Source organism: Homo sapiens, chromosome 17, assembly GCF_000001405.40.
Source record: "Homo sapiens chromosome 17, GRCh38.p14 Primary Assembly".
NCBI classification, from domain to species: domain Eukaryota; kingdom Metazoa; phylum Chordata; class Mammalia; order Primates; family Hominidae; genus Homo; species Homo sapiens.
The window spans coordinates 9,271,563-9,284,488 of NC_000017.11; the positions used below are offsets into that span (position 1 = coordinate 9,271,563).

At 46.0% G+C, this 12,926-nt stretch overlaps 1 protein-coding gene across 3 annotated transcripts in view, besides 1 other annotated feature; it reads right to left on the reverse strand.

Annotated features, from left to right (window-relative positions):
• Positions 1–12,926, reverse strand: part of STX8 (syntaxin 8) — a 325,350-nt gene that overhangs the window by 21,092 nt on the left and 291,332 nt on the right. The gene's annotated exons all lie outside the window — the stretch shown is intronic.
• Positions 1,438–1,939: an enhancer, noted in NCBI's record as "H3K27ac hESC enhancer chr17:9176317-9176818 (GRCh37/hg19 assembly coordinates)". NCBI's record gives its function as "activates a minimal SCP1, AML or CMV promoter by ChIP-STARR-seq in naive H9 embryonic stem cells {active_cell/tissue: H9 hESC(naive)}" and the evidence as "EXISTENCE:reporter gene assay evidence [ECO:0000049][PMID:30033119]".

Genomic DNA, 12,926 nt, shown 5'->3' on the forward strand with positions numbered 1-12,926 from the left:
AACAGGGTGAAACCCCATCTGTACTAAAAATACAAAAATTAGATGGGCGTGGTAGCACGCACCTGTAGTCCCAGCTACTCGGGAGGCTGAGGCAGGAGAATCACTTGAACTGGGGAGGCAGAGGTTGCAGTGAGCCAAGATTGTGCCACTGCACTCCAGCCTGGCTATAGAGCAAGACTCCATCTCAAAAAAAAAAAAAAAAAAAAGAAAGAAAGAAATTCAACTTCAAGGGTCCTACCTAGAAACCTGTTTTAACAAGCCTCCATGTGACTCCTCTGGTGCTGAAGAAATTCTTCACACCATACAATAAAATATCATCTGTTACCATGATAGAAGAAACCGTGGCTTTCTCTGGCGACTATAAGTACGGATAATGGGCCAGGGCTCCCTAGCTGGAAGGAAAGTCACTGTCCTGGGGGCAAAGCAGGTACCCAGTGACTGTCCCTGCTGATGATGCACCCCGAGAAGTGGAGCAGGCTGGGATGTGTTTGACACAAAGCCCTCTTGCTGTCCTAATCCACACCCACGCCAATATCCCTCAGCCTCATTTCCTCTTGACAAAGACGGTTCTGTTCTGAGGGGGTGTGTGGGACCAACAGCAGCAGCTGGGGTGGCCAAATGACCGCTCTTGCTTAGAATAGAGAGGGATTCAAAGAATGATCTCTGCCAGATTGCCGGGCTTTGCTGTGTCACATCAGGCTGACACAGATGGCCTTGGCCACTAAGGACGCTGCCTTCTTCCTCACAGAAGCCCGAGGAAATGCCCTGAGAAGGAACAAGGACCAGATAACTACCCGGCAGGGAGTGGCTGGTAGGATTTCAGCTTGAAATGTGATCTCTGGATGCCCATGAGCCAGTGTGGCATTTATTTCCACCGCATCAGGGGTCCCAACCTTGGATAACATTTATATTTCTAGAGCACCTGAAGAACAAAGATTCCAGATTGTAAGGTGCAAAATAAGTCACAAGGGGGTGCCTTCTCACTCACACACAGCTAGCCACAGCTGTCTGCCATCCCAGAGCGTACCCCGAAGCTAGCGCGCCAGCGAGCTAGTTTTAAAGCACAGACAACCTCTCCATTGCTGGCTTTCTTCGAACACCGTGGGTGAGGAAATGAGACAGAGAATGTCTAATGATTAGTTCCTTATGGTCCTTACATTCTTGAAGTATATTCTTTACGCCCGCTGGAACACTTCTGCATTCTTGATAGCATGATTGCAATATAAGTTCTTTCCCTTCTGAGCACTGTCTTTTATTGACACACTAAAATATCCTAGGAGCAGGATGGGTCTTCCCACCTTCCTCACGCCCCTCTTTCCCCACTGCCACACTCTCCGCGCCATTCCTTGTTCTCTTTCTAAGAACGCAATAAACATTTCAGCACAATCTTTTCAATCCACATTATTTATAATATTCCGAACATCCATCGAGCCTGGCTAGAATGCGAAGCAATAAATCAAACTTAACAACAACAAAGAAGGAAGGGGGAAAACCGCCCTTTGGCGAGGCGAAAGCCTGAGACGTTTCATTCCCCGAAGGGTTTAGTTATGTTAGGAAAAGTGAGATGGGGATGAGACCCGAGGTTTAGAATGACATAGAGGCAGGAACTGGAATCTATAGGCATAATCATAACTTTGTATAAACCTCAAACAAACTTACCTCTCTGGGGTGTCATGAGGATAAATGAGATACGTGGGAAGCACTCCGAGTGCCTCGAACGAGAGCAACTGGAGCCCAATTCTCCTTTTTGGGTCCAAAAGGTCATCTTTCTTGGAAGGGAGAGGGCTAAGAGCTCCCCCAACTCCCTGAGCGCCAGTCTTTGCTAATTAACATCCCCTCTGCAGGTTTAACTAAGATGGGGGTGAGCCTGGAAGCAGGGCCTCGAGGTAGGGCTGCTAGGTCCTGGACCCAGTCTCCACCCCCAGCAGGGACCCCTCTCCCCACTGCCAGCGAGGACCACGCCAGGCCACACACAGCCAGGGGTGTCCCTGCAGAATGATTCAGCTCCTGCCGGGGGTGGGAAGTAGAGCTCGTCCCACATCCTTTCCTCATGGCGCTACGCAGGTTAACACTGTCTGACTTTGTCTTCGCAAAGAAAGAATCTAGCTCCACAGTTTGCTGATGATTTCAAAATTTATCTAAACGAATGTGGAGGCCAGTACAGGCTATTGGCTAATTGCAGAATTGGCTTGAGGCCTTTCTGCCTTGGCGATTTCCCACGCATTCCCGTCTCACGTTGGAAATCCAAGCTGTTTGGGAGTGGGCGTGTGTTTGCGTGGCAGGCCTCAATGCAGCGGCTCTGTTGCTGTCTAGTCTAACATGCTCTGCCGTCTGCTCTCAGTGGTCCCTTCTGACAGTTTCCTGGATATAAAGGGGTGCTTCTTTTCCAGTCTTGTTGAATGGTACTGAATATAAGATTAGAATAACTGAATCACAATCCACATTTTAGTCATTACAGTCTCATGTTAGCTCTGGGGAAATGACCATAACCGGTACTTACTCATGAGAATTTTCTACCAAAAAGTCAGACAAGAAAGTCATTTTCTTATGAAAAGTGTCAAATGTGCCACCTACTCTGGCTTTGCCATCCCTCCCCTCTGCATGTTAACCTCACTTGGTCTTCTTAAGGTACAGATAATGCCTTCCTGCCCAGATCTGTTACCTGCTTGCTGGCTTGGGTGGAGGTTAGATCTCAACCACTGTTCTGGAAAGGATTTGATCATCAGCTTGGCTTTGTTCATAACTTCCTGCAGTAAAAAAAAGTCTTCAAAAAACCCAAATTCACGAGTGATATAGACATTTGTTTAAACAAAGTCTTCAGGCCGGGCGCGGTGGCTCCCAGCACTTTGGGAGGCTGTAATCCCAGCACTTTGGGAGGCTGAGGCGGGCGGATCACAAGGTCAGGAGATCGAGACCATCCTGGCTAACACGGTGAGACCCTGTCTCTACTAAAAATACAAAAAATTAACCGGGCGTGTTGGTGGGCACCTGTAGTCCCAGCTACTTGGGAGGCTAAGGCAGGAGAATGGTGTGAACCCCGGAGGCAGAGCTTGCAGTGAGCCGAGATTGCACCACTGCACTCCAGCCTGGGCAACAGTGTGAGACTCTGTCTCAAAAATAATAATAATAATAATAATAATAATAATAATAATAAACAAAGTCTTCAAAAATACAACAATTTCTTTTTTCTTTTTTTTTTTTTTTTTTGAGACGGAGTCTCGCTCTGTCACCAGGCTGGAGTGCAGTGGCGTGATCTCAGCTCACTGCAACCTCCACCTCCCAGGTTCAAGCAATTCTCCTGCTTCAGCCTCCCAAGTAGCTGGGACTACAGGCATGCACCACCATGCCTGGCTAATTTTTGTATTTTTAGTAGAGATGGGGTTTCACCATGTTGGCCAAGCTGGTCTCAGACTCCTGACCTCAAGTAATCCGCCCGCCTTGGCCTCCCAAAGTGCAGGGATTACAGGCATGAGCCACCGCGCCTGGCCCAACAATTTCTTTATGATGTCTCTAAGTCACAGAAACCAACAAAATCATCATTACTTGACTGTTCAAGTTAAGGGTCTCTTTACAACTTCCACTTCTTTTGCTTCTGATGACGCAACCATCCTCTTGAGCTCCGGCCTCCCAGGGCTGAGTGGTTCACCCAGACCTCTGGGGTCCCTTCCTTGGTATATTTCCACTTTCACTCCAAGCGTCCATGGGAACTTCTTTCCTTTGTCTATTACCTCCTAGGTGGAGCTCTTCTGCCTTCCTATTTTCCCCCATCGCCTCTAAGTAAAGGGCTGGCTTCACTGACGCAGGGAGACATCGCTGCTCTCTGTCTCTCCTTTAGTGCCTTCTCCCTGGTCAATGGAGTTCCACTATTCCCACCCTTACCTATTTACATACACCAGCAACTTCTCTTTACTTAGAGGTGTAAGTCTGCTGGAGAGCAGACTGTCTAGCTACTGAACTTCCCATCTGTGTGATCATGAGCCAGCCATTTAACCCATCTGGACCTCACCTATAAGATGGGGATAACAGGTTGGGCGCAGTGGCTCATGCCTGTGATCCCAGCACTTTGAGAGGCCAAGGTGGGTGGATCATGAGGTCAAGAGTTTGAGATCAGCCTGACCAACATGGAGAAACCCCGTCTCTAGTAAAAATACAAAAATTAGCCGGGCATGGTGGCTCATGCCTGTAATCCCAGCTACTCGGGAGGCTGAGGCAGGAGAATCATTTGAACCCGGGAAGCAGAGGATGTAGTGAGCCAAGATCGTGCCACTGCACTCCAGCCTGGTCAACAGAGTGAGACTCTGCCTCAAAAAAAGAAAAAAAAGAAAAAAAAAAAGGGCGGGGGATAACAGTAGCGTATATATAATGTGCTGCAATAATGTCAATGACACAGTAAATGCTCAATAAACACTCACTTATCTTATTATTAAGGCTTTTCCAGTCATGCTTCATGGTGTGCCTACAGCCCCTTCAAATGGGATCTTTTTAGATCAGAGCTCTGGCTGAGGTGTGAGTCAAGGTGGCTGCGGTTTCTATCTACCCCCTGATCCCACCCATCAAGCCATAGGGCCCTGGGCATGCAGGGCAAGTTCAGCCGATCCACAGGCTGGCCAGCAGCCCCTGAGTGATTTTGGTCCAGTACATGCAACTGAGCTGGATAAGGATTATTTTCTCTGAAGTTGGACTAGGAAATAAGGAGTGATGCAGGCTTACCAAGTCTGCCTTGGTTCCTAACGAAGGGAACATGTTTCTTTAAAGTAACCCCATCTTTTTTTGTGGAAATGTGAGTGATTCTGTTTCATTTTTTCCCCAACCAAAAGATGTCCCAAAGAACAAAAGTTTAATTAATATATATCCCAGGCTACAGATGTATGTGCTTTAAACGAGGGACAGATTTTGACTCAAGGAATACATTTCTAATTGTAAAATTTTGGGTCATCAGCAAGATGACTGAAAGGATCTCCATCACTTCCGAAATTAGAACTTTTAGGCCACTGTTGAGATATCTAAGACATCAACAAAATTAGTTTTTTGTCAGCTTTTCTTGTTTTTGTTTGTTTATTTGTTTGTTTTTTTTTTTTGGTTGTTGTTTTTGAGATGGAGTCTCGCTCTGTTACCCAGGCTGGAGTGCAGTGGCACGATCTCAGCTCACTGCAACCTCTACCTCCTGGATTCAAGCCATTCTCCTGCCTCAGCCTCCTGAGTAGCTGGGATTACAGGTGCCCACCACCACGCTCGGCTAATTTTTTTGTGTTTTTAGTAGAGACGGGGTTTCACTATGTTGGGCAGGCTGGTCTCGAACTCCTGATCTCGTGATCCGCCCGCCTCGGCCTCCCAAAGTGCTGGGATTACAGGTGTGAGCCACTGCACTCAGCCACCTTTTCTTTTTTTAAAGAGACGAGATCTTGCTATGTTGCCCAGGCTGGAGTGCAGTGGCTATTCACAAGTGTGATCATTAACACACGACAACCTTGAACTCTTGGGCTCAAACGATCCTCCTGCCTCAGCCTCTGGAGTAGCTGGGACTACAGGTGCATACCACTGTGCCTAGCCAGAATCACCTTTTAACATCCATGGCTATTTCAAATCTAGAGTTTACAGCGTCAGTAGGTTTAATGCGGATGAACATCTTCATGACTTAAAAATGAGTAAGGAACACATCCTTTTCTGGTTAACTTCCTTGTCACTCTGGAGAATGTCCCTACCGCTATTTCTCAAATGAGAGGACCTGAAGTTCTCTGGAGCACGGGGTGTGGATGGAGGTATAAGAGAAGGGATAGCTGGAAATGATAGTGGGTGAAGGTTAGTGAGGGCAGGGTCTCAATGAGTGAGGGCAGGGTCTCAATGAGTGAAGGCAGGGTCTCAATGGCTCATGAAGGCATCTAGGCTGAATACACAGAAGCCAGTCAGCCTCCATCTGCTTCTACCCAACTCTGTACCAGGTACCATGTTAGGTTCTGGGAATACAACAAGGGTCAAGATAGACATGATACCTGTGCCTGAGGAATTGACAGGCTAATGGGGGAGTCAGACATTCAAACAACCACACAATAAAATGATTACAAATCATAGAGAAGCATTAAGAAGGAAATAAACAAGATGTTATGACAACAGTTACTTTAATGGGGTGGTCAGATATGGCTTTCTGATGAGGTGATCTGTTGAGATCTAAAAGTAAATAAAGCTGGGTGAAGACCATGCCAGCCAAAGCCAGGCAGAGTGGGAAGCACAGAGCAGCTAGGGATTCATGGAATGGAAAGAAACCCACTGTGGTTAGAACTGGCCAGTGAGGAGAGAAATCAAGGTAAATTTGGTGAGAGTGTCAGGGCTAAGTCCTGCAGGGCCCTAGAAGCCATGGTAAGGAGTTGGATTTTATCCTAAGTACAAGGGAAGCAAGTGAAGGGTTTAAGCAGGGAGCGGCAATATCTCCTTTAGGTTAGACAGTCATTTATGTCACAGTGTGGAGACTGGACCGGAGGGTATGGTGTCCAGGTCCAAGTAAAGCCAACAAGACCTCTTTGAGAGAACTATCCCAGCATCTGGGTAAGAGGGTGACATGAAATGGGGTGGTGGCAGTGGAGACAGAGGGATTGAAACATACTTTAGGGCCGGATGCAGTGGCTTACGCCTGTAATCCCAGCACTTTGGGAGGCCGAGGCAGGTGGATCACCTGAGGTCGCGAGTTTGAAACCAGCCTGACCAACATAGAGAAAACCCCGTCTCTACTAAAAATACAAAATTAGCCGGGCACGGCAGCACATGCCTGTTAATCCCAGCTACTCGGGAGGCTGAGACAGGAGAATCGCTTGAACCCGGGAGGCGGAGGTTGCGATGAGCTGAGATCACGCCATTTCACTCCTGCCTGGGCAACAAGAGTGAAATTCCATCTCAGAAAAAAAAAAAAAATAGAAACATACTTTAGAATGCCACAGCTTCTTTTTGGATAAGCAAGGGCGGCTATAGTGAGAGGAGAGGAGGAAACAAAATTTCTACCTTGAATAACTGGGTCAATGGCATGCTATTTATTGAGACAGAAAACTAGGGGTAGGTGGCGTTCTGGATATGCTGCAGAGGGATTTAAGCTGACATATCAAAAAGTTCTTGGATATGCAGTATAATGGAGCTCAGAAGAGAGATCTTGGGCAGTGGCAGTGATGGTGACAGGTTGAGAGCCCAAAGAAGAGAGGAGAGAGGAAAGATCACGGGGAGGCGGAGAGCAGGGGAGGGAGATCGGGCAGGGTGGGTGCAGGGGGTACCGTGAGTATGGGAGCTTCTAAGACTTGGGCCCAGAGCTGCTAAAGGGGCACTGGAAGGGAGGACTCTGGCTCTGTCACTATCTGATGAGGACAGCAGCAGAGTGACTACAGCAAGCATTTACAGAGAGTCTATTGCACATCAAGCACTGTACTCTTGATCTTCCATACCCCTCTCTAATCCCCATCATCACACTGTAAACTGGTGTTACTATTATTGTCATTATTATTCTGTGTGTGTGTTTTTTGTTTTTTGTTTTTTTTTTTTGAGATGGGGTTTCACTCTTGTTGCCCAGGCTGGAGTTCAGTGGCACAATCTCGGCTCATTGCAACCTCCCGGGTTCAAGCAATTTTCCTGCCTCAGCCTCCCAAGTATTTGGGATTACAGGCACCCGCCACCACGCCTGGCTAATTTTGTATTTTTAGTAGAGACAGGGTTTCACCATGTTGGCCAGGCTGGTCTCGAACTCCTGACCTCAGGTGATCCACCCACCTCGAATTCCTTACCTCAGGTGATCCACCCACCTTAGCCTCCCAGTGTTGGGATTATAGGCGTGAGCCACTACAGCTGGCCATCATCATTATTATTAATGAACCTGACGCTCAGAAGCATTAAGCAATTTACCTAAGGTTTCAGAGCTTTTCAGTGTTGGGCCTGGGATTTGAACCCAGCTTTGACTAAGTTTATCATCAGAGTTGACTAACTCGAACATATAGTCATAACAATAAAGTTAAGGTTGTACAGAAGTAGAAAAAGACCTAAGATACCAGTAACACAGCTTCCAAACCATCTTCTCTGCTTTCACAGCCAGGTGCCCAGCTCTAGACTAGACTATGATGGACTTCTCACTGTCTTCCCTGCTACAGAACATCCCCAGAAGCAACAGGTCTCCCTCATGCTGCCAACAACAACCCTCTTCTTCACTGTGACAAGCCTGACCCCATCTGTTTTTTGGTTTTCCTCTTCAAGAACTGCAGGAGACAAAATTATTATTTGCAGATAATGAGAACACCTAACGTGGAAATAACAAAATAATCCACAGAAAACCCTTTTGAACTAAAGAAAAAAGGATAGCTTAAAATACATCAATAGATTCCAACTCCTTTCTCATAAGGCAGTTAAAATCAATCAGAAAATATAACAGGGTGTGATGGCTTACATCTGTAATCCCAGCACTTCGGTGGATCACTTGAGCCCAGGCATTTGAGACCAGCCTGGGCAACACAGTGAAACCTCATTTCTATAAAAAATACAAAAATCAGCCAGGCGTGGTGGTGCACGCCTCTAGTCCCAGCTACTGCGAGGCAGGGGTGGGAGAATTGCTCGAGCCTGGCTGGTCAAGGCAGCAGTGAGCTGAGATCATGCCACTGCACTCCAGCGTAGGAGACACAGTGAGTAAGATCCTATCTCAAAAAAAAGAAAAAAAGAAAATCAATGAAAAAAGTGTATTAATAACTGATGAACGGCCGGGCACAGTGGCTCACGCCTGTAATCCCAGATCTTTGGGAGACCAAGGCGGGTGGATCACTTAAAGTCAGGAGACCAGCCTGACTGACATCGTCAAACCCCGTTGCTATTAAAACTACAAAATTAGCCGGGTGTGGTGGCGGGCGCCTGTAATCCCAGCTACTTGGGAGGCTGAGACAGGAGAATTACTTGAACCTGGGAGGCTGAGGTTGCAGTGAGCCAAGATCGCACCATTGCGCTCCAGCTGGGGAAACAAGAGCAAAACTCCATCTCAAAAAAGAAACAAAATTTTAAAAACTAATGAACAGAGAACAAAGGAATGAACAAAAATGGACAGAACGACTTTTTGAAAATTCCACAAGTTTACTGAGGAACCGTAAAAGAAAATATGAACAAAGACAGATCCATACCATATTTCTGGATGGGAAGACTCAGAGCTGTGTGCCTGTCAGTTCTCTCCATGTTAATATAAACATTTAACTCAAATAGCAACAGGATCTTTCAGGAACCTGCCAAATTACTGTGAGGCAACTAGGACTATTCTCAATCTGCAGGCAAGGAAACTAAGGCTTAGACAGGTTAAGAAAGCACAATCTGTCGTAAGGAAATTGATGTGGAGGCACAGTAGGGCACACCTCAGTAACAATTACAAAGATGTTGGATGCAGAGTTGTGTGTCTATGTGTGTGGGCCACAGATAAGCAGGAGAGTGGATTGCACAGGGCCCTAGGTGTGACAAGGAATCTGGGCAATAGAGAGGCTCTGAGAGGTTTCAGCGGGAAGAAGTAATGGTGGAGGGGGAGGGTTCACAGACGCAAATCTGCATTTTCCAAAGCTCCTCCTGACTTCAACGTGGAGAATGGACTAGAGGGGGCAGAACTGGAACAGGAAGGCGATGCAGGAAGTGACAGGAGTGATCCAGAAGATGACAGAGGCTGAAGTCAAGGTGAGGCTGTGGGAAGGAAAAGCAGTGTTGTGGATTTCATAGACACTCAGGAGGTGGAATTGGTGAAAACTGGCATCGGACGAGATGTAGGGGCTGAGCAGAAGCAGGGATGATTCCTGGGTATTTGGCCTGAGAAATGGAGTGGTTGGTGGTCTTGCTCATTGAGATAGAAAACAGAAGAAAAGCAGGGCTGGAGAAGATCGTGAGCCTAGTTCTAGAAATCTTGGAATTGCTGCGAGCAAGTTTTGACAGCACGATATTTGGTTTTCTTCCACTGGGATTACAGAGAACTTGTCTTTTGGGTAGTGAGCCACAGGGGAAATTTTCCTGTTTGGGTGGGGGGCTGGGTGCAGACCCACCTCTACTGTGAGTATCCTAACTGTGAAGCAGACACAGTCCCTTGGAGTGACTATAAAAATATTAAAAGGCTGGGCACAGTGGCTCACGCCTGTAATCCCAGCACTTTGGGAGGCCGAGGCAGGTGGATTACCTGAGGTTAGGAGTTTGAGACCAGCCTGGCCAACATGGTGAAACCCCATCTCTATTAAAAATACAAAAATCAGCCAGGTGTGGTGGCACACACCTGTAGTCCCAGCTACTCGGGAGGCTGAGGCAGGAGAATCGCTTGAACCTGGGAAGTGGAGGTTGCAGTGAGCTGAGATTGCACCACTGCACTCCAGCTTGAGCTACAGAGTGAGACTCCATCTAAGAGCTCAGGTATGGGTCTAGCATCGACAGCTGCTGGAGGCCTCTCCACCAGGGCCCTCCTGGGGCCTTCTCCCCACTCTCCTGTTGGAGGCCTCATCAGATGCCACTTCTCCATTTCCCCCCTCTATCTGAGATTTCCAGATGGACATTTTATGTTTTTGTACATTTGATAAATTTTTGTTTGGTACTGATGACATGTTTTGTTTTGTTTTGTTTTGAGATGGAGTCTGGCTCTGTCACCCAGGCTGGAGTGCAGTGGCGTGATCTTGGCTTACTGCAATTTTGGCTTCCCGGGTTCACGCCATTCTCCTGCCTCAGCCCCCCGAGGAGCTGGGACTACAGGCACCTGCCATCATGCCCAGCTAATTTTTTGTATTTTTAGTAGAGACAGGGTTTCACCGTGTTAGCCAGGCTGGTCTCAAACTCCTGACCTCAAGTGATTCACTCGCCTCAGCCTCCCAAAGTGCTGGGATTACAGGCGTGAGCCACTGCACCCGGCCTGATGACATTTTCTTACTATAATCCCTCCTCTTTGCCTTGGTAGAGTACATTTCTTCATTCATTATTCCTTCCAACATTACATTATTTGAAAGTATGGTAAGACAGGGTTCAACAGAAAGGCACGCAGTTGGTGCAACTGGAAGCTATCCTCTTTATGAATGAAACGTTAGTGTCTCCAGGTGTCCGTTTTCTTCGCTTAAAACTGCTGGCATCATCTTATAACTCAGACTTAGCTATTCATCACGGTGGAAAGAAAAAGTCAGCCAATGGAACATAAGCCTTCTTCCCTACGAGACACTCCTCTGGCCAACCTATATGGCCACAAAGGGCAGAATTGAGATTCTCCTGCTCACCTGGTGGCCGCATGCATAACCAGCCTAAAGAAAATTTCTGAGAGAAAATATCCAGGCAAGAGCTAACTTGCAAATCTGAATACTTGAAATGAGACAGTCACTTTATGGAGATGAATCTTTTTTTTTTTTCTTTCTTTACCAAAACTGAAGAACTGCACATGTATGTCCTCTAACAAGTAGACATCTAAAGACACCAGCATAGGTTGGGTAGAAAGTCAAGAAGCAAGAGAGTTTACGTATTTGCTGTAGAACCTAGATAGGGATTCCAGGGGACAAGAGAGCCCAGGACACCTGACAGGTATTCTTGATAGGAAAAACAGAGCACTCACAATTACAGATGTTGTGACCCTGGTCCAAATAATATCTTTACTCTGACAAAAAGCTGTGGACAATTAGAAATTACTTTTCTTAAACTAAAGGGTTTTTTCCTTTCTATAAATATTCAACCTTCTGTGTTTGAAATAGAATTCTCAGGCAAGGAGAGGTGGCTCGCACCTGTAATTCCAGCACTTTAGGAGGCTGAGGTGGGCGGATCACAAGGTTAGGAGTTCGAGACCAGCCTGGTCAACATGGTGAAACCCCGTCTCTACTAAAACTACAAAAATTAGCCGGGTGTGGTGGTGCGCGCCTGTAATCCCAGTTACTCAGGAGGCTGAGGCAGGAGAATCACTGAACCTGGGAGGCAGAGGTTGCAGTGAGCCAAGACCATGCCATTGCACTCCAGCCTGGGTGACAGAGCGAGACTCCATCTCAAACAAACAAACAAATAAAAGAAATAGAATTCTCAGTGTTTTCATGTCACTGGGGTTAAAGTATAAACTCAAGAAAAGTACCATGAGAACTTGGAATGTGGAGCTTTCGCAATGGATAGAACGACATTCTTTTCATTTAATAAGGTTGAACTGTATGCATCTTTCAAAATTAAAAGCAATGTTTTCAATAACTGCATGTTTCCAACAACCTTGGTCTCTATGGATTAAATTCTATTTCTTTTCATTTCTGGAATTATTTTATTAATCAAACACAAAATTATTATAGTCTACTCAGAAAAGTCTGATGGAAATTGTAACCTGAATCATATTCGAGGATTTTCTTTTGAAGCAGAAAGCCAGCAATTACAGTACTGGAAAAGGCTGTTTTACTGTGGTGTATTTCCTCGGGAGAGGAAATGATTTTTGAGAATACTGAAGCCTTTTTTATTCTAAAGTAGGCTAGCAACACCTGTACACAATCTTTCTAGACAACAATAAGACTTTTCTGAGGTTTCATGTCATGATCGTTTAATTTAATAGCTCTGAGAGTTTAAACAGGACACTCATACCTCAGTTAACTGGCATGGTCAGTGAACTGGGGATTCCAGTTAACTTAATTTTTCCATCAACTAATAGTAACCCATTTATGCAATGAAATTTCCTCAGCAGGATACAGGGGATCTGCACAGCTCTTTTCAGATATGTACAATTGTATGGTTTGTCTCTAAGTTTTCCTTTTTTAAAAAATCAGCATCTTGCCTTGTGTAAATCTTCAAATTAATAAACCAATGATCAACTACAAGACGGCTCACCAAAACAAATAAGCAAAAAAGGTTAGGTTTAACTCTGATCGTCTTAGCTAAAGAAAATAAACTACGGAGAAAATAAAATATTTTCTTCTCAATTCATACAGCATTCACTTAAGGCAATGGTCTGCACCCTGGAGATA